We start from the raw sequence: 25,472 nt of genomic DNA, 5'->3' as shown, positions 1-25,472 counted from the left end.
CTGGAAAGAAGGGAATCAATAGTAGGTATTGAGATTGAGATTAGTAAAGATTGGGAGTAAAGGAAAACTCTTTCGTGATGTTAACCCATATTTAGTACTTTTTCAAGTCCTTTAAAATAGGAATAACCTTAGAAGAAGGCAGTCCACAAATATTTCCCCAAGCAACCTGCCTTGCTTCCTACATTTCTCAGATGCCCCTGTTATCTTGAGGGTTGTCAATGTTCTGCAAAGAAACACACCAAGAGGAAGAAGATATCAGGCACAGGACCGAGCACGAGTCCATCGAAACCTCACTGAATTCCCCATCTGCCTATCCTTTCCTCATTTCCTTTGTACATTTTTTCTTAAGCTCTAGTTAATGTTTTCCACCCTAAGGCTTTCCCAACAATTCCATCCATCTACCCTGCCAAAGTATACTTGGGATTTACAAAGTTTGCTAGTAATGCCACAAGTAAAATCAAATTATAACAAAGTGTCTATTTGACAAACCAAGAGATTTTAAAACCTTAGCCAGCCAGATTCTCTTATTGGAAGTAATCTTTGTTAGGATGTATTTTATGATCTTTTAGAGTTTGTAGCATTGGAATTTGACTTGTAATAGCCCTGGAATGTTGCATCAGGTTTCTTTTTATATTATAAATCCCAGAAAACTAGAGATCACAAAATGTGGTTTTGGTGTCCTGCTCAGAGGGTGACATGGACACTTACCGGTAGGTATGTGCTATTTGAGGATATGGTCCATAGGAAATGGGCTTAGGCAGCCTTTATTCACCCACGGACAAGGGAGAGGGCAAAACTCACTTTTTGCCCAATAACAACAACAAACACCTACTGAACATTTAACAGGTACCAGGGACTTCACTTTTTATACATTTATTATTATTATTATTATTATTATTATTATTATTATTATTATTATTTTGAGATGGAGTCTCTCTCTGTTGCCCCGGCTGGAGTGCAGTGGCACGATCTTGGCTCACTGCAACCTTGGCCCCCCATATTCAAACAATTCTCCTGCCTCAGCCTCCCGAGTAGCTGGGACTACAGGCACGTGCCACCACGCCTGGATAATTTTTTGTATTTTTAGTAGAGATGGGGTTTCACCATGTTAGCCAGGATGGTCTCGATCTCCTGACCTCCTGATCTGCCTGTCTTGGCCTCCCAAAGTGCTGGGATTACAGGTGTGAGCCACTGCGCCTGGCCTCATACATTAATTCTAATGGTCTCCACTCCATCCCGCTTCCTCCTTCAGCCCCTACGTTTTACAGATTAGGACTGAAGCCCAGGAATCATGCCCAGTCACCCGGCTGCCACAAGCTAGGACTGGGATCGAACCCGGGCATGGCTGTTCCGAGGCCGAGTCTTCTTCTCCGCAGCATGTTGCCGAGTGACCATGAGAACGGAGGTTTCTGAGCAGATTCAGAAAAAGGGGTTTGTTTTCAAGAGCTGCCAGGGTATTTAACCTGTTTATTTACATGTCCAATCTGTGCATTCTTTTACTCATTCTCGTCAGTAGTTGGGATTCTGCAGTACTGCTGGGGCACCCTATCCTCCGGGCTGCTTCCTGGGCGTCCGCGTGGACAGCTTCTCCCAATGCTGAGTAGTCTCACGGTGTTTGCTTCAAAGCGCTAAGTATCAATCACCACGCCCATGTGCACACAGCATTTCTGGGGAGTGTCAGCCCACAAAATCTCCCCCTCACTCGTGTTTTATCTGTTCCCCCAGCAAGTGAGTGGGCATGAGCCGCCCGGGATTCTGCACTGTGCTTCGCACATTTCCCTTGATCCCGGAGGAGGAAGCCAGAGCCCCGGCGGACTCTGTTCTGATGCCACACTCCCTCCTCTCAGCCTCTGCCTTCCTGGCTGCATCAGGCTGCGGTCGCTTCACTTTCTGCCTGCAGAGCAGATGGCCTCGGTCGGGAATTCCTGGGAGAAAATTCCATTCAGGAATAGAACTTTGCAAACACAAATATAGAGAGAATATCTGAACCACTGATGGGCAAGTGGATGAGAAAAAAAAAAAGAATCAGGACATTACAGAGAGAGGCGCACATATAGACGTTTCTGAATTTCTAGACTTAGATGCTGTTAAATAGATTACCTAGATAGCCTCAATGCAAGGGATGCTTTATTTTCCAGGAAAATTTAATAGAACAGTTCTAAATACATTTGCTGGAGATCTAGAAATACAAAATAAATTTTAATCCATGTTGCTCTACACTTGGGAAAAAGAGGGGACGAATATAGCCAAGGGAACCAATATTTATGGAGTATCCACTATACTGCAGCTTTTTCCTCTGCTGTTTTCTGTCACCTTCTTGACAATTTTGTTAAACCTCATGTATAAAGACAAGGAAAGTGAGTCTCAAAAAATTGAATAACTGACCACCCTTACTCGAATGTATATTCTGATGTCGAACTTCAGAGAGCTGGGCCTCTCCAGGGTGGTTTTAACCCGTAAGTGAGCTGCTGCCCCTGCTCCCCCTGCCACCGCCAACACTCCCTCTGTCCCTTGCGTCAAAACCACTTCCCTTTTCCCCACATCATGGCAAAGCCGCAGGAGAAATCCCTGCTAATTTCAGGTTGCTTGAGAGATGGAACCTCCAAGTCTCTTGGGAATGTTCCCTTCTCTGGTCTTAGGTGAAATCCATGAGTTTCTTCTCCTTGTTACGGCAAGATCTACCTGCCGAGTGTCTCTTTCCAGCCCTACTTGGCAGCTCTCTTCCTGTCTGCAGAGATAGCCAGGGTAGCTGGGGAAACAGAGGAAGATGTAGGACTGTGACTATGATGTCATACATCCCCTGGGCTCCGTGGGGGCTCTCCCCCGCCATGTCTCACTGTGCATATCCTGTTACATGTCTTGTGCTGTTTGACAAATGGCCTCTTGACCTTTGCCCAATCCTCTTGCTTCTTGCAGCTGAAACAAAAAAAAAAAAAAGAAAAGACTTACTGTTTGAAGCCTTATGAAAACCTACTAGAGTAAAACAAATGCCTTTGATGATCATATATACCCATACATAAAAATGAAAATTCCTTTTAGGTGGCAGTAAATAAGGATAAGAGATGATAGTCAGGCACGTAGGTTGGAACCAAGCTGCACACACCGCACAGTGGAGAGAGACCTGATCCTGCTTAGGGCAGAGTGGGGGAAAGGAGCCAGGGCCTCCTCCTGCTCTGATCCCCACCAGCTCATGACCTTGGACCAGCCCGTGACCTCGCAACCTCGCAGAACTGTAAAACTCTAGTAGCTGCACGACGATGAAGTGGGAGCTTTGGAAATGTTAGTAAGTTTTCCTTTCTAGACTTACTCATTGTTGTGTTTTTGTTTCTGTAAACTTTCCCCCCCACCAGGTTTATTGAGGCATAATCCACAAATAAAAATGGAATATATTTACCAGGTACAATGTGATACTTTGGGTTGCTTTTAACCAATCCAGGCCTCTCTGTCTTTTGATTGGTGACCTTAGTATGTTCACAAGTATTTTGAGTACTGATTTTTTTTGGCTTATTTCTACTGCCTTATTTTTGTTTTCTATTTGCTATACTTTGTCTTCTTTTCTCTCTCTCTCTGCCTTTTATTTTTTATCCCCACTTCTTACCTCTACATTTGGAAACATAACAGCCTATTTCTAATTCTTTAGTGGTCCTTAAACTTGGAAGTGCAACAGAAGACTGGAGACTTCACATAGACCATTGGGCCCTTCGCCCAGAGTTTCTGATTTAGCAGGTCTGAGGTAGGACCTGAGAATTTGCATTTCTGATAAAGTCTCCAAATGACACTGATGCTATTCCTCTGGGAGAACACTTTAAAAACTACTGTTTCAGAACAAAGATTTGTTGTTTTAAAGGATGTGAACAGACAACTTTTCCAAAGACATACATGCAGCCAACGAGCATATGAGAAAATGCTCAACATCACTAATCATGAGAGAAATGCAAATCAAAACCACAATGAGATGCCATCTCATACCAGTCAGAATGGCTACTATCAAAAAATTTTTAAAAAATCAAAAAATAACATGCTGACAAGGTTTTGGAGAAAAGGGAACCCTTATCCACTGCCGGTGGGAATGTAAATCAGTTCAGCTATTGTGGAAAGCAGTCTGGTGATTTCTCAAAGAACTTAGAACTACCATTCAACCCTACAATCTCATTACTGGGTGTATGCCTTAAGGAATATAAATTGTTCTACTGTAAAGACACATGCATGCGTATGTTCATCACAGCCCTGTTCACAAAAGCAAAGACATGGAATCAACCTAGATGCCCATCAATGGTGGACTGGATAAAGAAAACGTAGTACATATACACCATAGAATACTACACAGCCATAAAAAAGAATGAGAGAATGTTCTTTGCAGCAACATGAATGCAGCTGGAGGCCATTATCCTAAGCAAACAAATGCAGGAACAGAAAACCAAACACTGAATGTTCTTATTTGTAAGTGGGAGCTAAACACTGAGTACACATCGACACAAAGAAGGAAACGATAAACACTGGGCCTACTTGAGGACAGAGGGTGGGAGAAGGGTGAGGATTGAAAAACTACCTATTGGGTACTACACTTATCACTTGGGTGATGAAACAATCTGTACACCAAACCCCAGAGACACTCAATCTGCATATGTAACAAACCTGCGCATGTACCCCTTGACCTGTAATAAAAGTAAAAAAAAAAAAAAAAGGATTTGTTTGTTGGGTGTGGTGGCTCATGCCTGTAATCCCAGCACTTTGGGAGGTCAAGGCAGGCAGATCACTTGAAGTCAAGAGTTCAAGACCAGCCTGGCCAACATGGCAAAACCCCGTCTCTACTAAAAATACAAAAATTAGCCAGGCATGGTGGTGGGTGCCTATAATTCCAGCTACTCGGGTGGCTGAGGCAGGAGAATGGCTTGAACCCAGGAGGCGAAGGTTACAGTGAGCGGAGATTGTGCCACTGCACTCTAGCCTGGGTGTCAGGGCCAGACTCTGTCTAAAAAAAAAAAAAAAATTATTACCTTTGACCAGTCAAAATGCATTCAAAAATACTGAAAACTTTGATCATCTGCCTCCCCAAACTACATGTACCCACGAAATTTAGTATTCAATCTTTGGGATTTGTAGTCCTTCCACCCCAAACCAATTCATGGATTCCCTAGGAGTCCCTGGGGAACTCCGGTAAAGATCCTCTGTTTCAGAGAATAATTCTATTTTTTGAGGAAACCCTGATATTAAAATGGATAATTTACATTCTTAGGGTGCTACAATAACCTGAGCATATAACTATTAAATATAATTCTTTTATTCAATGATTCGGCCGCAAATAGGAACTGAGTATTTAGCATGTGCCAAGGTAATGACGATAAAATCCCAGGATACTTAGATGGCTCACGTGGCAAGTAAACAAAAGTGTGGACCATTGGCAATTATACCCCTGTATGTGTTAATAACAGCACAATCACAAAGGCTTCCATCCTATATCCTACCAAGTCCCCAGGGTCACTCCAGCCATTCTTGAAGAAAGGCCTGTAGTCCGGCTTTCAAGCTGTGTGCTGACTTCAGTCCTCTTTTTGTGATGTATGTGGCTGGCCTTTCCACGTGCAGTTCCTTCTGCATTTGATCTTTGTGCTGTGGGACCAAATAAGTGAGGCATTTAAACAAAAGAGTCTCGGAATGTTTCCTGGAGAAAGTGGTGCTGAAATCGAGATCTCAATGATGAATAAGACTTAGGCCAAGGGACATTTGAGGAGGGCGTAAACATGTTCAGGCAGTGAGAACAGTATGTTAGGAGGCCTAAAACTGAAAGCCAGGTTAAAGCAGTTGGATTTTTTTGCAAAAAAAAAAAAAAAAAAGAGGAAAAGAAAAAGAATGTGAGCCACTGCAAGATGTTAAGGAGAGGAAGGAGGGAAGGCAGGATGTTAAGGAGGGGAAGGAGGGAAGAGGCAGGGCCTGTACCACGGGCATGCGGGGCCAGTGCAGTTGCACAGGACAAGCACCCAGAAGGTTAGGGTTTAACACTCTATAATTGCTCTCTTGAAATTCTTCAGAATTTTACCTTTGAACTTGTGCTCCCTAAGTGAAGTGTAACGAGACAATGGAGCCTGCCAGGAATGTGGAGCCTCACGCATGCGTGCTCCTGCCTCCTGTTGACTCCCAGGATGTTTTCTCAGACATCTGTTCTTCTCCCGGTGCCTTGGCCCTGCCCAATTTCCCCTCCCTGCCCCCACCCTACTACAGATGCTGCCCTTTACCCAGGGAAGTAGCTGGGTCACACGAAGTGAGGAGACCACGTTCCACCGTCACTCTCCATCCCTGGTGGGGGCCCAGGAGGACACATGTGGCAGGCTGGTGTCTTAGTCTGTTGGGTGCTGCCATAACAGAATACCTGAGACAGGGTCATTTATAAAGAACAGAAATTGACTATCTCACGGTCCTGGAGACTGGGAAGTCCGGGATCCAAGGTGCTGGCATCTGGTGCAGGACTTCTTACTTGATCCACATGTGGCAGAAGGCAGAAGACGAAAGGGCAAGAGAGAGTGAACCCACTCTCACAAGCCCTTTTTGCAATGGCAAGCAAGATTCCACTCATGAGGGCAGAGCCCCAGTGACCAAAGCACCTCCCAAAAGGCCTCACCTCCCACACTGTTGCATTGGGGATTAAGTTTTCAACACAAGAATTTTGAAGGGGACAAAAACATTCAAGCCACAGCAGTTGGGCATACGGCTTGCAGCATCTCAGGGCAGAGCAAGGCAGCAGGTGTCAACCCCCCGACACACTCAGTGGGAAGCTAAAACAGGGCCTTATGCCCACCCCAATCTGGGTACCAAGTGCATTCCAGTGTGGAGATGGCAGCCCCTCGGAGGCCGGCCATCGGCTATGGGTGGGTGCAGCAGAACCTGCGGGAAGGGAGACTGGCATCCCAGCCGCAAGGTGGGGCACTGCATTTTCCCAAAAATGATGAAGCCAGCCTGGGCCCTTGAGAAATTCTAAGAATCAGATCATTGATGTCCAGCTGCACTGGACTTCTAAGTAGAGTGAGAATGAGTGTGGGTCGTGTGTCATGTCACTGAGATTTGGCGTTGTCACCACAGCATGACCAACTCATCCCGCCTAGTGGTTCTTCCAAACTTTCACTTTTCTGCTAACCCTCTGCCCTAGCCCAATCCCATTCACTCTCACACTTTGCCTCCTCATTGCTGAGCAGATAGAGGCCATCAGGAGAAAAAGCCCTCAACTTCGTTTTCAAGCACATGGGAACATTTCTGCTTCTAAGCCCACCTTTGCCCCATGGAATTGGCATCTCCCCACCCCCAGGTCCCTGCTTCCTGTGCCTTCCAGCTCCCACCCCCTTCTCATCCCACCCCGCATGCTCAGGGGCATGGCTCCACGTAATCCTCCTCTCTCCTGTATTTCAACCTCTCTCTGTCTCTGCTGGCTCACTCCTCTCAGCATCTAAACCTCAGTTTCTCCCATCTTAAAAAAAAAAAAAGACATCACTTTGAATCATAAACCCCCTCATAATCAAGTCTCTTGGAGAACTGACAACTTGTTCATTTCTTTATTCAGCATACACGTATTGAGTTTGTACATCCATGCTGGCTACTTTACTGGCGGCTGTGGACACAAAAGATGAACACAGTGGGGTCCCCATCTTCAAAGAGCTGGCGGTGGGGTGGGGAGAGCAAGGACGAACAGGTGGCAGTGCTGACCATGGGGTACCATGCTAGCGATGAGCACAGGGAGCTGAGAGCTGAAGGGAGGGGGGATCCCTGGGGTCTCAGTCCAGGCAGAGCAGAGGGCTTTGGGGAGCAGAGCTAGAATGGGAGGCATTGGGGGGTGGAGAGGAATCTTGGGGACTTGGTCATGAAGAACTTTATAAGTGAAACTTCATCCTGATTTGTGTTTTTAAAAAATATTCCTCAGTTTTGTTTAAAGTTAGGCAGCAAATCTTGGAAAGACTGGATTAAGGCGGGAGGGAGTGTGGAGAACAGGGAATGGCATCAAGAGATCCTAAGGGAAAGGGATCAACAGAACTCAAAAACTGGCCAAGTACATCATGTGGAAAGAGGGAGGAGTCCGTGATGCCCTCTGGTTTCCAAGGGGGCCCTTCAGCAAGACAGCGGCCCCCCAGGAAGAATAAGGCATCAGGAGAAGAGAGTAACTTCACTTTCTCATTCACTGCAAATTGGCTTTTATCCCTGTCACCCCACTGAACCTGCTCTTATGAAGGTCTCCAATAACTGCCCAAGTGACAAGTGCAAGGAGAAGTCCAAGTTTTCATTTTACTTTTTGGAGACATTCTGAATTACTGGCTGTCAGGTACCACATCATCAATCGCACCCCAAGCCCAATGCCTCCTTTTTGCCCCCGAACACTGTGGCCCTGGTATTCCCCTTGGAGCAAGGCACTTGCCCTGGCGCTACCATCCAGCCAGAACTCTGGAAGCCCCTCTGCCCCTCTCATTCACCTCCCACATCTGATTAGTTATCAGATCCTGTAGATTCTGTCTCTCAGCTATGTCTTCAACCCAAATCCTGCTTCTTACTTGCAACACCACCATCTGGGTTCAGACCTTCACGGTTTGTCATCATTTCTACCATCGTTGCCTCACTGGTCCCCCTTCCCCTGCCCCCCTTCACTCATCCTCCACCCTCCCACTTTAACTACCTTTTTCCCATGAGAATCTGCTTCTGTGCTACCCCTAGTTAGAATCTTTGATAATTATTTATTTTTTTGAGACAGAGCCTCCCTCTGTTGCCCAGGCTGGAGTGCAGTGGCACAATCTTGGCTCACTGTAACCTCTGCCTCCTGGGCTTAAATGATTCTTCTGCCTCAGCCTCCTGAGTAGCTGGGATCACAGGTGCCCACTACTTTCAATAATTCTTCAAAGCTTCAAAACAAAATTCAAACATCTTAGCTCACCTCCCAAGTCTTTTCCTGATTGACCCCCGCTTATCCCTCTGGCCTCATCTCTTGGTTCTTCTGCACACCCAGGTGTGTAGGCTCCTCTCCCTCCCCTGACCTCATCACGGGCTTCTCACCTCTGTGCCTCCCCACTGCTGTTCTGGCCTTGGAAGTGCTTCCTCTGTTTGTTCATTTAGAATCTAAGTTCTAGGTAACACCTGCTTGTCCTTCCAAATAGGTAACACCTGCTTGTCCTTCCAAATTCAGCTCAGGTCCCAACTCCCAGGAAGCCTTCTCTGAGCCTGTATTCTGAATTAAATAACCTTCTTCTGGGCCCCTGGGCTTCTGAGGCATTCCCCCAACACAGAGCTGACCAAGAGTGCTATAGTAATTGTTTCCCAGCTGCCTCTGTCTTAAACTGGAATTTGTCCCCCACTTCTGGGATAGGATCTGATGTGTAACAAGTGTTACGTAACCAATTGTGCAGCAGGGTTGCCAATTCATGCAGGTACCATTTGACATATAGATTAACCCACCATGATTTAATTTGGTCTATAAATAACTGGATCATTTTTATTTTTCTCTGTCCCCATCCATTGGCTACTGGGAACATTTTCATGAAATGGCTCATCCAGGTTAAAGCTTACCCCACTCCAAAATTTAAATTATTTCTCTTTTATTTTATTTTTATGTATTTATTTTTTTTGAGACGGAGTTTTGCTCCTGTTGCCCAGGTTGGAGTGCAATGGAGCAATCTCAGCTCACCGCAACCTCTGCCTCCTGGGTTCAAGCGATTCTCCTGCCTCAGCCTTTCAAGTAGCTGGGATTACAGGCATGCAGCACTGCACCAGGCTAATTTTGTATTTTTAGTAGACACAAGGTTTCACCATGTTGATCAGGCTGGTCTCAAACTCCTGACCTCAGGTGATCTGCCCACCTCGGCCTCCCAAAGTGCTGGGATCACAGGCATGAGCCCCCATGCCCGGCCTCAATTATTTCTCTTTTATAATCACTTGTGTAAATCACTTGATGATTTTTACTCGTGTAATCACTTGATGATTCTAATTGCTTCTCTTGTATAATCGCTCACTCTCTCAGATGGCCTTGCCTCCCTCTGGCTTCTTTCCCTAAGATGGCATCTGATGTTGGGGGATGGGGAGTGTGGCTGTTTCGTTCTGTGGCCGTTGAGGAAGAGAGGGCCCCTGGGCTCCTGCAGGCATGAAGGCATCTGCTTTGTGGTATCTGCTGGCCTCTGGTGTAAAGTCCCTCATCTGCCCGGCTGTTGCTTGTCACACCTGTCTGGGAGTCCAAAGTCTATGGCTATTGAGTTCATAGTCTGCTCAGTTCCCGTGAGCAAGCAATCATCCTTGGGGTGCTGGGGTTGACTGGGCCTCCCCTCGTTTCCCGTTGACTGTGGATACCCTCATATTCCCAATAGGAAAAAAATCAATGACTGCCGTCACAAGACACAGTTGTTGAACCTTTCATCAATGCTCCGTAAAATACTTTCTGATTCTCAGACTCTCTTCTAAATATTCACAACAGGAAACATTTCGTCCAGCCTTACCTTCTGTGGATGATTCTGAAAACAGGTGTCAAAACTGATATGCCCTCCTCCAGAAATGCTGCTCTGTTGCTCCAGCTGAGCCTCCCTGATAGAGAAAGTCCGCCCATCAACAACATGTGTGTTGCTATCAGGTCCCCACGTCCTCTTCTAAGAAACACTGAAAACTTCCTGTTCCCAGGGGAAAAGATTTCACCTCACATTCCCAATAAAACCTAGTAAATAGAGGTGTGAGTCATTTCATGGAGTCCTCTGAAGAACACGTCAATGAATAAAGGCTGTTTTGTGAGTCATCGAGTTACACTGCTAGACGTGAACCATCGAAAGCAGTTTCCACCAAGGCAATCTGAGCGATGATGCGTCAAGCATTTCCTCTTCCTCCAGAGCATGTGTGACGGGAAGTTCGTGGCCTAGTGTGCATGGCTCTGTGCTTGAACATTTGCTCCAGGGCCTTTTGCTGCCCCTTCATCCTTGGCTTCCCACTCTAGTTGTGGGTCCAAGATGGCCTTGACAAGGGCTTCACAGAGAAGGTAGAGGAACAAGACCAAGAGAAATGGCAGGAGGTGGAAAATTGTGGAATTAAAAAAAAAAAATTAATGATACAGAGGTGAAGTGAAGGAAATGGTTGGAAACATCATTTCCTTTTGGCTCTTTCTTGGCCCTCTGAGTAGGCCAGATTAACCCCTGGCATCCCACCTCCCATGTGCCCACTGTGTCACAACCTGTGTGACACTTGAGGACTTGGTAGTTAAGATCCATTTGGACACCCCAAAGAGGAGAGCATGGAGATAACAAGGAAATGTTGAAAGACCCATATGTATGTGGGATTAGAACTGATTTTGGAACAGGCCTTGCGTTTGAATCCAGAGATCCAATAGGTCATATCTAGATGTGTCAAAATGCTTGGAGGTAGGAAGAAAGGGAACTTAAGAGAGAAGCGGTGGGGTGGGGCCAAGAGAGGGACATTGCTCAAGATAGGCAGAGAATTGCACTTGAAGAAGTGCCCTAGAGCTCTGGATGTGGGTTAGGAGGGTAGCATGGCCAGTGTCTCAAAGCTGTTTGTCCATCCAGAGGAGCGCAAGGCCGGCGTCATGTACTACATTTGCCCAGAGCCCCATGCTCAGAAGAGCCCATGCTTGGTTCAATGCTCTCTTGTCATCATTTTGAAATTCTTAATTTTTGAACAGGGGCTTGCCATTTTCATTTTGCACTGGGTCCCACAAATAATCTAGCCAGTCCTGGATGGGGGCATTTAGAACTTTGTCTGCACATGCCAGATGAACAGCCTGGGACTTGTGACAGACTGACCTCCCAGCTGCCCGTGAGCAAGGAAAGAGAAATTTTTGGCTACTACCGTTCGAGGAATTTCAACTTGTACATATTCAATGAGGAGGATGCTTGAGAAGGAAGCCTTTTCAGTTTCGTATCATGTCGAGGGCTTCTGGCAGTGGAGGGTGACTGTGCTGACAGTAGAAGCCATCTTTAGCGTAGATTTGGATGGACTCATTTTAAAGAATTCCAGAAGGTACATCCTTTGCAGAAAAGCCCCCCAAAGCAATATTAGCAAGATTGCTTTAAAGTGTTTAGTTTTATGCACTTAATATTAACAAATAAATACAAAACATATATTTGTGGTCTACTTTTTTTCCTTTTGTTACTAATTTTTAGTGGCTTGATGGTATGAAATGACTTTCCAGGAATTTGTTCTTTATTTATAACCTTATGACCACAAGAAATAAGGAGACAATGGCTTGAATTGCGACATGAAAAATTAAGACATTCACATAATTGGAATATTCAAAATACTTAGAAATAGATGTAGCAAAACTCCCAAAAACTCACCAATTTCCTCGTACTTTCAATGTCTCACGCACGTGCACGCACACACACAGGCACTCTCTCTCTCTCTCTCCCTCACTAAGTGAAACAGGTATACATTTTTTTCTTACAAAGCACAGTCTAATTAGACATGGGCACAACTCTTTTCCCTATACAAGTGAAACCAACTTATCTGTCATATCTTCTATGCCCAGCACAGTGTTAAATCAACATTTGTTGCGTAAATGAATGAAAAGTACTTAACTGAAAATGCAGAAGATTCTCCATGGTTTCAATGCCAAATGTTGAAGTGATTTCAAAGGATCAGTTAGTACCATGCACTGGTGGAATGGTGTTGGCATGCCTAAGGAGACACATAGGAATGGCCTACAGGTATACACAGGGACAGATGGGCAGGGCAGATATTGGGGAAAATGACGAAGAAGAAAAGTTTCTCTTTGGGATCTTCAGCTTCACCATTTGGCTTCGTTTTCCCCCCAACTCCTCTTCTCCTAAAGCTACATCTCTTTCTAGCCCCCCTTTCCCAGGACCCATGCTTTTTATCTGCTTCTTTTCTAGTGAAATAAGAAAAGCCCAGTACCTGATAAAGTATGCATAGCTGCTACCATGTTTTGAATGAGCTCCTGAAGAGTGTTAATATTTTAATAGAGGAAAAAGGAATGGATTACAAACTGTGGCATTCCCAGAATTAAGAAGCACTATAGGAATTGGGGGTGTGGGAGAAGAGACATTTCTGGTCCTCACAGGTAGAAATCACTCTTCTTTAAAAACAAGGATCACTCCTCTTTGAAATAGAACTGTTCAAATGGGAGGTGAAGGGCATTGTTATAGGAACTGCCATACCTTTTCCTCCTTTTTGTTTTGAAACAGGGCCTCACTTTGTCGCCCAGGCTGAGGTGCATTGGCACAAACACAGCTCACTGCAGCCTCAACCTCCCAGGCTCAAGTGATCCTTTTGCCTCAGCCCCCCAAATAGCTGGGACTGCAGGTACACACCACTGCCCAGCTAATTTTTGTATTTTTAGTAATGACGGCATTTCGCCATGTTGCCCAGGCTGGTCTTGAACACCTGACCTCAAATGAGAGGCCTGCCTCAGCCTCCCAGAGTGCTGGGATTACAGGTGTGAGCCACCACACCTGATCCATTTCCTTTTTTTTACATGCCACAAAGAAACTCAGCCTACACAGAGAGAGACGGAGACGCAGAGAGAAGCAAGTGACACAGGACTCAGAGGTGACTGATCCAGCTGAAAAATCACGTCTAAATTCCAAGCCATGAGCAAGGCTCTGCTCTTCCTTTCCAGGGGACAGAGGACAGGCCTGGGTGAGCCAAGGTGAGACAAGCACTTGTGGCTGTCTGACCGCTCTGCTGGGTTCTCTCAGGCATATCTGGTCCCATCCTGGTCTGCTCAGACAGCCAGACCAAGACCACATTTTAAATTTGTCTTTGGCTTGTCTTTTATGCTCAAGGTATAAGCTCCCAAGCCAAGCCATCCTCTTGGTTTTGAAGGAAATTGGCAGTCCCAGATGACAATTAACCAACCAAGCAGCATTGACTGAGACCTGCACCCAAGGCCCAGAGCAGGGTCCGTGAAGTACACAAAGACAAAGAAAAGGAGCTAGCACTCTACTGGGGATGTAGACACAGGCACATAGAAAGGTAACATCCAGGCATGGTGGCTCACACCTGTATTCCCAGCACTTTGAGAGGCCAAGGCAGGAGGATTGCTTGGGGCTGGGAGTTCAAGACCAGCCTGGGCAACACAGTGAGACCCCATCTCTACAAAATATTAAAAAATTAGCCTGGCATGGCACACACCTGTAGTCCCAGTGACTCAGAGGAGGCTGGGGTGGGAGGATCATTTGAGTCCAGGAGGTTGAGGCTACAGTGAGCTATGATTGCGCCACTGCAGTCTGGGCATCAGCGCGAGAGTTTGTCTCTAAAAAATAAATAAATTTTTTAAAAGAAAGGTAACTAACAGAAAGGAGCAGAATCTCACAATTCTGGCTTCTGCTGAGAAAGAGATCTCATTATTACCGTCTTTAAAAAGCAATCAAATTTAATTGTTCCAAAGGTTGCAGTAAATAGCTAAAGAGAAATGGCTCCAGATTTCCGCTCGCCCCCAGTCAGGTTTTGCATATTTCCTCAGGAAGTGCCACAAACTCACTCTCCAATTGTCCAAACAAGTCCTTCACTTTAGTACACAAAACAATATATACACATTGTGTGTGTGTGTGTGTGTGTGTGTGTGTGTGTGTGTGTGTGTGCGTGCGCCTATGATAAAATACTTCTTTACCCCACCAAGAATTTTTTTGTCGTTGTTGACATTGTCTCTTAAAACATAAAGAATCTGGCTGGGCACGGTGGCTCATGCCTGTAATCCCAGAACTTTGAGAGGTCGAGGCAGGCAGATTGCTTGAGCTCAGGAGTTCCAGACCAGCCCCGGCAACATGATCTCTACCAAAAATACAAAAAATTAGCCAGGCATGGTGGTGTGTGTCTGTAGTCCCAGCTACTTGGGGGGCTGAGATGGGAGATCACTTGAGCCTGGGAGGCAGAAGTTGCAGTGAGCTGAGATTGTGCCACTGCACTCCAGCCTGCGCAACAGAGTGAAACTCTGTCTCAAAAAAAAAAAAAAAGAAGAAAGAAAAAGAAAAAAAAACATGAAGAATCTTTACTACATAATTTTGAACTTTATAAACCATATATTTATCCACATTCCTCTTAGCCATGGCGCTGAGCACAGAGTCATTACTCAATCCAGGAAGTTGTCATTTTTTTTTTTTTTTAGATGGAGTCTCCCTCTGTCACCAGGCTGGAGCGCAGTGGTGCGATCTCGGCTCACTGCAACCTCCGCCTCCCTGGTTCAAGCGATTCCCCTGCCTCAGCCTCCCAAACAGCTGGGATCATAGGCACACATCACCACATCCAGCTAAATTTTTTTTAAGACCATGTTGCCCTGGCTGGTCTTGAACTCCTGGGCTCAAGTGATCCACCTGCCTTGGCCTCCCAAAGTGCTAGGATTACAGGCATGAGCCACCACGCCCAGGCTTATTTCTGTTTAGATCCTTTACCTGGGACAGAATGAAGAGGTTGAAAATGTGTGCATTTGAGGGTAGGGCTGAGGAAGCTTTGGAAAACTGAATCCAAATCCTGGCTTTGTGACTCTGCAGTGGGCCCTGTGACTCAGTCCTCCCCAGGACTGCCTCAAGGTCAGCCTGGGGCTCATCTGAGCTTTTATCTTCTTAGGGTAATTAGTAGTTCCAGGGACATCAAGCAGCCATTGAATGAGCGTTTCAATTGGAGTGAAGAAGTTATGTACAGACGTGCAGAAACGCATTAATCAGACGTTTTCAGCAACCAAAAAGGGTTTTGTCCCTTCCACTGTTCATATTACTCTTTCAGCTTAATCTCAAATACTCAAAGCTCCCAACTCTGTCTTTTTTCCCAAATCTAAATTAGTCAAAGCATTCCCAGTTGCCCAATGCAGGACAACCAAGTCAACCAATGGGAGTAGGGGGAGGGGACTGGTTATTGTTTCACTAACAAGCACTGGTTTCAGTATTTCATTAAAGTCAAACAACAAGAGTAGCTGGGTGATCTTTCCCCGCCATCTTTTTGGACCATTAATCAATTGTTAAGTAACCATCTGTGTAATCAGGACAAACTACAACCTATCTGGTCTCCAATTTTCTTACGTATAAAGTGAGAGGGCAGAATACACGCTGTCTACCATCACTTCCGGTTCTGAAAATACTTCTCCTAACTTTCAGCAGTGTGTATAGTGTGTTCTGTTGTAAACCAAAGGGCGAGGGCATGTACTTGGAAACGTGAGTTAGAGAGCCCTGATTCTGAAGACAATGAGAATACTTAGGAAAGACAAGAAAGATGGCGACAGAGACCCACAGCCTGATAGGTAGATGAAGATCAGGAGTTTGAGACCAGCCTGGCCAACATGGTGAAATCCTGTCTCTACTAAAAATACAAAAATTAGCCGGGCATGATGGCGGGCGCCTGTAGTCCCAGCTACTTGGGAGGCTGAGGCTCGAGAATCGCTAGAACGTAGGAAGCAGATGTTGCAGTGAGCCGAAATTGCACCACTGCACTCCAGCCTGGGTGACAGAGTGAGACTCTGTCTCAAAAGAAAAAAAAAGATGGAATCCCTAATATGGAGGGGCTTAAGGTGATGACAGGTGAGGAGGAAAAGCCGAAATGGAGGAAAGCCACTGCAGGGCCGGGAGGGAAGACGTCAGTCTTGGTAGCCAGACAGGAACTGTCCCCAAGAAGGGAAAGAATGTCATGAAATGCAGGTTATGGCTTGAGAACGTGAGAAGGAGAGCAGTGCTGATGGATCCTGAAGTTTCCTATCTCTTGGTTCCTGTAGAATGAGTCCAGTTGAGGAGAGCTGAGAAAGAATTCTTGGGTGGCATAACCTAGGGATGTGCACTTTATGCTGGAAAAAGAGGGAATGGCCAGTCAAGAGCACAAGAGAACCAGGCAGAAATGACTTTGCCTCCTTGGTGTTCAGAGGATTTGAGAGAAAGCTCTAGTTTTGTCAGAGTAAAAGCAAGGTTCAGCCCAGCTCGGGGGATGGTGAGGGCGGTATCAGTGAGGACCCAACTGCTGGATGGAGCAGCACAGTGGTGCTGGTGACAGGATGCCCATTGCGTTAGCAAAGCCTGAGTGCCGGGCATGTCATACAGGCCTCTTTGGGTCACCAGTAAGAGAAGCCAGCTCCAATTAGCTGGAGCAGTGCCAAGCAGCCAGCTGCTGAAAGCTCTAAGAGATACTATCAGGCCTTGGCTTCTCTCTCTCTCTCTTTCTCTCAGCTCTAGTTCCTCATACACTGGCTTCAGTGTCAGGCCAATCCTCTCTGCAGAGTGGCCTGTGACAGTCTCAGGACCATTCCTCAGCACAGCAACCCCAGAGGAACAACAGAGCAGCCCTGTCACTCCAGAAGAAGCTCTAGGAATGAGACTCGGAATGAGGTTGATCCTTGAGCTAGTCATGATAGGATGGAGTATGTTCATTAGCCTGAGTGGATCATGCTCTGCCTTGGAGCTGGGGAAGGAGGGAGCAGGGGTGGGGTGGAGTTGGCCAGCCATTCTCAGATAGAACTAGAGTTGCCACGATGTGATTCTCAAAAGGACCATCAGGGAGCTGTTGCCAGGAGAAGGGGGAATTGAATGTGGGGCAGGCAGTGGCAAGAGATGTCCATCGACCCAGCTTGTACCCACAACTAGCCTGAATTGTATGTAGGAAACATTCAGGGACTGCCACAGACAGAAATAGCTTGCACATTCCCTCACTAAATCCAAGCTGTATGGGTGAACTGTTACGAAGCCACAAGTTTCCAGGAGAGGCAAAAGGAAAAGGTGGCCATGAGGGGGTGGTGCTGAAATGAATCAGAAACAGGATTCTGAGCAGATTTTTTTTTTGAGTCTATTCTATTACAATACCATAATCCCTTCTGGTATGGTTTGTATGCCTGTACTAAAAATTAACTCCAGAGGGGTCACAATCCCTTATAGCCCATGCTCTCGCTTAAACCATCCACACCTCTGCCCCCAGAGGACAAAGATCTAAATCATCATGACCTACCAGGTCCTGCTACACTCCAGCCTCGCCCTGGACCACACTCCCTGTTATACGCAGCATGTCAGTGACTTGGGCCTCCTTTCAGTCCTTCAAATGTACCATGCTGCCTCTGACCACAGTACCTTCGCACAGGACCTCTTTCCCACCTACCATCTTTCCTCCATCTTCACCTGCTTAACTCTTCCTCTTTCTTTATATTCAGCCCGGTCGTCGCCTCCTCAAGTGACCTCCCTGGCTACAGACGTAGCCTCTCAAAGCCCAGGTACCAGGCATCATCATTGTAATTTCCCATTCATTTTTGTGATTCTTAAATTCTGTCTACCTCTACCACTAGACCGTAAGGCCCATGGCAGCAGAAACTGTGATTTTTCTTTTCTTTTCACCATTAAGTTGCTTGCATGGTTCCTGGAATTTAAATATTTATTGAATGAATAAATGAATGAAGATGTTTACAATCTAAGTGAGACACAGTGACCCAAACACAATGGCTGTGCACATCATAAGCATTCAATTTCAGGGGCGATTTCAAAATATTTAATAACCTATGTGGTGCAATCATCAGCCAATTGGAACAGGTACTGGTATGGCTGTCCTCATATGGGTCAGCAGATCAGCCCTGAAATAAATGATGTGTGAACGTGCTTTGAAGCCTCAACAGGTGATAAAACGTAACATACTTTGGTGGTTACAAAACAACTCAGAAATGCAAAAACTGTACAACTTCATTTTTAAAAGTACGGAATTTAATTTTGTTTCTTGAGCCCCCATTCTGTTGCTTAGTCACTTCAGAGTAAATCCAGGCAGGATTTTATCTGTTGATTCAGACGTGTCCCTCCCCACTCATGTCCCTGGAGTTGCGTCTGAGTTCTAGGGTGCTAACATAGTGCCACCTGTTCAAAGGATCAGGTCCCTGGTTGTCTTCATATATCCAGGCTGACATCTGCCAACATGCTCCCTCTTCCACTGGGTCTCTGCCCCACCTGGGCATTGGCTGAGATGGCCGCATTTCTTCTGGTCTCTGGGAGTGGGCCAGGCAGTCGCAGTTGGCCCTCCTTTACAGGTTGCCTGACCCTCTCTGTTATCTGCTTGTCTTTTTTAGAGAAGGAGAGATGGTAAATTTTTGGATGCCCCACACTAAGGACACAGGAGACTTGGCGGGGCTGTCTCAGACCTTCCCTGTGTGGATTGGCCAAGCTGCATGCTCACCTGCCTGTGGCTGTGCCCCACAAGCATGACACAGCTTTGCCAACAAGCCAGGCTCCTGGAGACAGAAGCACAGCTCTCCTCTACAGTCCATTAACCCACCTAGGGGCTCCACCATACCCTACATCCCTGCAACGTCTTCCCTGCCTGCCCTATGGTCTGGATTACTTCATTGGAGAGCAAAATCTCATTCTCATCTGATCATTCCTTCTTCTAACTATGTCATTTATGATGCCAACTGTATGTCCTAAGTTCTTCAAGGCCTTGTTTTTTGCGACAAACTTTTTCATTTAAACTCTTATCTCTGCTGTGAGACTCAAAGCCCATTTTGAAATCCAAACCTGAGTGTGGCTTTATTTCATTCTCTCTGCATTTCTGCTCTAAGTTCTCGACCTTGAGGACAGTCAAAATAGAGCCCCACGCTGCTGTCTGACTGCACTGGGGGTGGCAGAAAATACCAGAGACAAACCATTTAATAAGATTATACCTCTTATTAAAACAAAGACAAAACCATTTAATAAGATTATACCTCTACATGATTATTACATTATTATTATTATGTTGATAACAACTTGCTGAATAAATACATAGAAAGTGTTAGTTTAAAAGAAGGCATTTAGGCCAGGCACAACGGCTCATGCCTGTAACTCCAACATTTTGGGAGGCCAAGGTGGGAGGACTGCACAAGGCCGTAAGTTTGAGACCAGCCCGGGCAATACAACTGGACCCCATCTCCTTAAAAAAGAAGAAAAATTTAAAAATTAGCTAGGTGTGGTGGTGCATGCCTGTAGTCCCAGCTTCTCAGGAGGGTGAGGTGGGAAGATCACTGGAGCCCAGGAGCTCAAGGTTACAGTGAGCCGTGATCATAACACCACACTCCAGCCTGGGCAACAGAGCGAGACCCTGTCTCAAAAAAAAAAAAAAAAAAAGAAAAGAAAAGAAAAAGGAGACATTTAAATTAGTAGATGAAAGTTCAGGTATGCTTTATAAAAAATTCAAATTTTACTGTTTCTGTATTGAATGTAAGCTTCCACATACATTTTCTCACTTAATGTCCTTCCATTTCTTTTTAAATCTGATGATTTTAGATGAGAAAAGTGAAACCCAAAGAATTTTGATGACCAGCTTGTGTAATCCTGTCAGTAAGGGACAGGATAATAACAAGGATCCAGATACTCTGGCCTCCAGTCCAGAGCTCTTCCCATGGCAGTCCAAAACTGGAAGGGGCAGGAGAAAAGATGAGTTGAGGTTGACATATATGACCCTGGGGCTATTCTGTTGGCTTAGCTGGCCTGCTTCATCAGAGAAGCAGTGTCAACAGTGTGATATTTTTGTATTTTGGCTGTCGGGCTGCTTGCATTTGTCTGGGTTCTTTGTGACAGTTTTCATTTAGCAATGCCTTCTCATCAGCAGAGCTTGGTCTACAACCGAGCCATGTTTGCACTCCAATTTACATCAGAATGAAGCCTCCTGGATGGGAAAGCATGGACATTGTAGATGAACGAGCTGGGCGGCCAGACTCCCAGAAGACAGCCTGGAGCTGCCAACCTCCTCCGTGCCGGCCAACACCAATCAACCACATTTGGAAGGCAAGTCCTCCCAGTTGCGGGGTCCAGAAGGAAATTCAAGATCTACCTCAGTTTTAAACTTAGCATCCCTGATTGTCTACTAAAATTAACTGTTTCTGTGATCTTCAGATTTGCCCAGAATTCAGGCATCTTCTGACAAGCCAGGTCCAGTCTCTGTGGGCAGAGCGGAGGAGATGGAGTTCAGGGAGGACACAGAAGTCTTTCTTGCTCAAACTTGGATCTGTGGTGGGGCAGTGGGAGGTGCTTAGAGCTGTTTCGGCCCCACACTGGTGTAGCCCCAAGCGCTTCTGCCAACCCCGGGACAACCCTAATCACCTTCCATTCCTGTTCAAAGACCCAAGTGTGCCTTCTGGAAGGCCAGATCTCAGAAGAGAGTGGACCTAGTGGGAGGTTTAATCGAAATCTGCCAACCCTAGGCAGAACTGACTACAAACAGGCCCACATGAGACGGGTAACCCAGCTGGGAGTGACTGAAGATAGTGGGATGGTGGCTCCTTGGCTGGGATGGGGTGCCCTGCCCGAGGAAAGGGAAGAACGTGTTCGCCCGGAGGTTAGGCGATTTGATCAAGAAAGCTCTAAACTGGCTGTGGAGGAGGGAGAAGAATGCTCAAAAAAAAACTTGTGAAACCGGTTAGTGTGGAGGATGCAGGAGCCACTTGAGAGGCAGCATGAGCACAGGAGAGGCCTAGAGTTTCCCTGGAAAGGAGCCCAGAACCGCGCCTTAGAGCCTCAGTGGATGCCCTCCTGGCACCCAGAGCAGGGGGAAGAAACAAAATGGATTCAAGGCCATGAATGCATGGGCATCACTGCAATTGTAGCAGCGCCGCATGGCATGCTGGAAGAATTGGGGTCCAGCTCAGTGGACCATGGGAGGGGCTGACCAGAGCTCAAGGCAAGAGCTCCCATCATGAGCACCTCAAATGCACCTGGTTGCAGCTGAACCATCCTCTTCTCCCTGTTCACCCTACACTCTGTCTTGGGAACAGCACCAACACGCACTCAGCCACTAAGCCAGAAATCAGTCCTTTTCTTTCCTCTTTGTCCCCAGAGCTGGTCAGTCACTGTGACCCACTGGTGTCTCTTTAATCTCTCTCCTCTACATCCCCATGACCACTTCCTTATTTCAAGGCCTCATCATCTTTTGCCTGGCCTCTGTCCCGGCCTCCCAGCAGATCGTCCTGTCCCCAGTTTTCTATATTATCACGGGGGAAGCAAAATTGATCATGTCATTTCTTGTTTATAAAATCCTTCGAGAGCTCCTCATTGCCATCAGGGTGAAATCTGAATGGCCTTGGCACAGCATTCAAGGCTTTTCGTGACTCCATCCCTGCCCATCCTCCTAGCCTCGTTTCTTCTCCCTTGGCTGCAGATCCTCTGTGCTTCAGCCATTCTGAATAGCATGCAGGTCGCCCAGACATCCAAGCACACCACGCCTTCTCCCGCCTCTGCATTTGCTACTACCCCTGCCCAACAGGTCTTCCCACCCACAGCCCCTGCACAATCTCAAATGCCTGGTGGTCCTGCAGGACTCAGTTCATACACTACTTTCTCAGAGAGAAGTCCCTGACCCATCTCCTGCTCCTCACCTGGGGTGGAAACCCCTCCTCTGGGCTTCCTGGCCTCCTGGTTTGCCTCTGTGGGCCCTTCCTTACACATTCTCCACAGACCCCTGGCCCTGGGTAGCCTTTGTGGGTATAAGAATGCTGGCACAGAGATCCAGCTTTCCCCGACTCATGTTCTCAGTGCAGATCCCCGTGGTAGAAACTCAGTTCCACCTGCTGACCATTTTTCACAGGGAGACAAATTCTTTCTCCTCCCCAGGTGTTGTCACCAGTGACAAGCCCAGTGGTAGCAGGTACTCGGCTTTTGGGCAGGCTCCTCAATAGCTGGCGGCCAGTAGGGATACCAGGATAGGAGTGAATCAGCTAGACCTCCCCCACCATCATGGGCAGCCACAGGCCATGCAGATCATCCCCTCCCAGGGGAAGGGCCTGGTCTGGGAAACTCCCCACCGGGCCTACTAGGTTTCATCTCCCCAGTCACTGATCATTATAAGCCATAATAATCATCATAAACCATCACTGATCATCACAAACCATCATAAGCCACTGCTTCCCAGGAGTGAGCAGGGGGACAGAAAGAAGCTGGATGGCCTCCTCCTTCACTTTCTTTCTGGGAGTGGTACAGTCTTTCCCATCTGTGGAAATATCAGAAGTGGGAAATAAGTGTGTCCACCACCCTAGCACCCATGGCCTAGGTTTCCTCCTCCCCTTAATCTCTTTATTGCTGGGTCTCATCATGGTGCCTAGCACATAGTAGTTGCTTAATAAATGTTTGCTGACTAATAGAATACTTGAACATCCAGCTACTTGTGCAACGAAACAGTTAAGAACATGGGGGATTCTGAAATCAGGCAGCCTGGGTTCTAAGTCAGCCTCCATCCTTTACTGTGTGACCTGGAGAAAATTGCTTAACCTCCCTGCGATGTGTTTATTTATCTGAAAAATGATGATAATAATAACAGCACCTATTTTCTAGGGTTTTGAGCATTAAGTGATTTAATATATGTAAACCAATCAGACAAGTGCTTGGCATACAGTAGATGCCCAGTTAGTGACAGTCTCTTGGAAGGAGCATTGCAGATAGGATCCAACTTGCTGTTCCCAAAGTCGAGCAGTCCAAGAAGAAATTTTCTTTGTAAAAGGGAAAAAGAAATTTGATTAGCTATGCATGCATAGAACCCTAGCAGAATAATCAATGCATCACATTACCCTTTGGTGGCTGTTCGTTTAGATATTCCAGGAAGACTACACACTCAAATTCCGTGTTCAGCAATCCCCCTGGGAGGGTTGAAAAATGAACGTATTAATATGTATATGTAAAACTATTTTTTTAAAGAGCAAACCATATTAAGGCAAAATGCCAAAATAGTGGGACTATTCTCATTAGAGGAATAAAATTTAGAATTTGCAGTTTGAAACATGGAAGCATCTTTGTTGCAGAGTCATCTCAAGAGAAAAATGAGTGGATTGAATAACTGTGGCTGAAATATGGTATTTTTCTCTTGAAAATAATGTAGCGGAATCCCAGTATGAGCCTGATCTGTGCCCACTCTGAGATTTATTCACATTTGGCAATGGTGGAGAAACAGGGGGGGCCCTAATAGGATATATTTGTTTTGGTTTGCATATTAGTCCATTTTCATGCTGCTGATAAAGACATACCCAAGACTGGGTAATTTATAAAGAAAAAGAGGTTTAATGGACTCACAGTTCCACGTGGCCGGGGAGGCTTCACAATCATGGCAGAAGGCGAAAGCCACGTCTCACATGTCAGCAGGAAAGAGACAATGAGAACCAAGCAAAGAGGAAACCCCTTATACCACCATCAAATCTCTTGAGACTTATTCACCACCATGAGAACAGCATGGGACAAACTGTCCCCACGATTCAATTATCTCCCACCAGCTCCCTTTCATAACACATGGGAATTACGGGAGCTACAATTCAAGATGAGATTTGGGTGGGGACACAGCCAAACCATATCTGTTTGGTTTGGGCTTTTTTATTTTTGAAATTTATATTTTTTAAATTGGCAAATAATAATTGTGTATATTTACAGGGTACCATGTTGTATTTTGATCTCTATATACATTGTAACAAGGGGATATATTTTAATAAGGGGGAGAAATTAGAGTATCTTGCTAGGGGACAACTCACCCTGAAGAGAGGGAGCGCCTTTGTACATGTCTGGCCAGAGATCAACGTGCTCACATCAGTGGTAGGGTGGGGATGGCTCATGCGGTGGGTCAGACAGCCTTTAGTCTCCCTGCACATGGGGATCCAGCCTGATTCGTGGTAAGGGGGCTGCCATCAACGAGAAAATATAAGTTAGAAGAATGAGAGAAGTTTGGTGCAAGGCATCTACAACCTTGACACCCACATCCCAAGCAACAATCAGACATGGTGTGTTTACAGCCCAGTTCCAGCAGCCTTGATGCAGGCACCAGGGTGTGTTGGCTGCTGTGGAGGGAGCTTTGGCAGGCACTGTTCAGAAGACATGGTGCTCCAGAAATCACGAGTGGCACAAGAGCAGAGCTGAAGCCACACAACTCCAAGAGGATAAGTTCCTAGAGGACACAAGAGGCCCTTCTAGGGATTCTCAGAACTATTTGGAAGAACTGGAGGCATGCCAGAGGAAGGTGGAATTCCCTCCAGGGAAAGCAGAGCTGCTATACTTTTATGTTCCAAAAAGTTTCATGCAGGGAACCGTGCTATTTTTCCTCAAGATAGTATGGGGAGCAGAAGTGTCAATAATGTCAGCCAAATGGAGCTTTGACCATCAGTGGTCAGGAGACCTTAGAACATGGAAATTCTGGGTTAGGCTCCACCATCTGAGGCCTTCCATCCAAATCAACATTAGAGACTGCAACTAATACCAGCTGCCAGATTTCCAACTCTTTCTCCTCTCAGGAGTCCCTGTTTATAAGCAGATGCCTCACCTTTTGCCTGAATGTCTTTGGATAGAAATATTCAGTAATCATCAAGGTGATGAAATGAGATTGGAACATTCCAGACACAAATCAATGTACATAATACTTAAAATCCTTGGACTTGAAATGAGGGAAGGGCAGGCAGGCCTGTTTGCTGGCATTGAATACATCGTTACCTGGTCTGTTATCCAAGAATCTGTGCTTTATACAACTCAAAAACAAAAATCCCAGTTAGAAAATGGACAAAGGACATCAATAGACATCTCTCGGAAGAAGGTACACAAATGGCCAAAACACACATG

The 25,472-nt window shown here is 46.1% G+C and overlaps 1 long non-coding RNA gene across 1 annotated transcript, besides 2 other annotated features; it reads right to left on the bottom strand.

Annotated features, from left to right (window-relative positions):
- Positions 1-1,020: 1,020 nt before the first annotated feature.
- LOC105370135 (uncharacterized) lies at positions 1,021-10,574 on the bottom strand. Its single transcript, XR_941799.3, has 3 exons — positions 10,452-10,574; positions 5,466-5,607; positions 1,021-2,916 (listed from the first exon to the last, which is right to left on the bottom strand). It is a non-coding gene; the product is annotated as an uncharacterized LOC105370135 (long non-coding RNA).
- Positions 1,553-2,053: an enhancer, noted in NCBI's record as "H3K4me1 hESC enhancer chr13:29157670-29158170 (GRCh37/hg19 assembly coordinates)". NCBI's record gives its function as "activates a minimal SCP1, AML or CMV promoter by ChIP-STARR-seq in primed H9 embryonic stem cells {active_cell/tissue: H9 hESC(primed)}" and the evidence as "EXISTENCE:reporter gene assay evidence [ECO:0000049][PMID:30033119]".
- Positions 10,014-11,213: an enhancer, noted in NCBI's record as "CDK7 strongly-dependent group 2 enhancer chr13:29148510-29149709 (GRCh37/hg19 assembly coordinates)". NCBI's record gives its function as "activates an origin of replication core promoter dependent on BRD2, BRD4, P300/CBP, MED14 and CDK7 cofactors, with strong dependence on CDK7, by STARR-seq in HCT116 cells {active_cell/tissue: HCT116}" and the evidence as "EXISTENCE:reporter gene assay evidence [ECO:0000049][PMID:35650434]".

The sequence above is a fragment of the Homo sapiens genome, chromosome 13 (assembly GCF_000001405.40).
Source record: "Homo sapiens chromosome 13, GRCh38.p14 Primary Assembly".
NCBI classification, from domain to species: domain Eukaryota; kingdom Metazoa; phylum Chordata; class Mammalia; order Primates; family Hominidae; genus Homo; species Homo sapiens.
The sequence above is the reverse complement of the archived record's forward strand: the minus strand, read 5'-3'. Positions and strand labels throughout refer to the sequence as shown.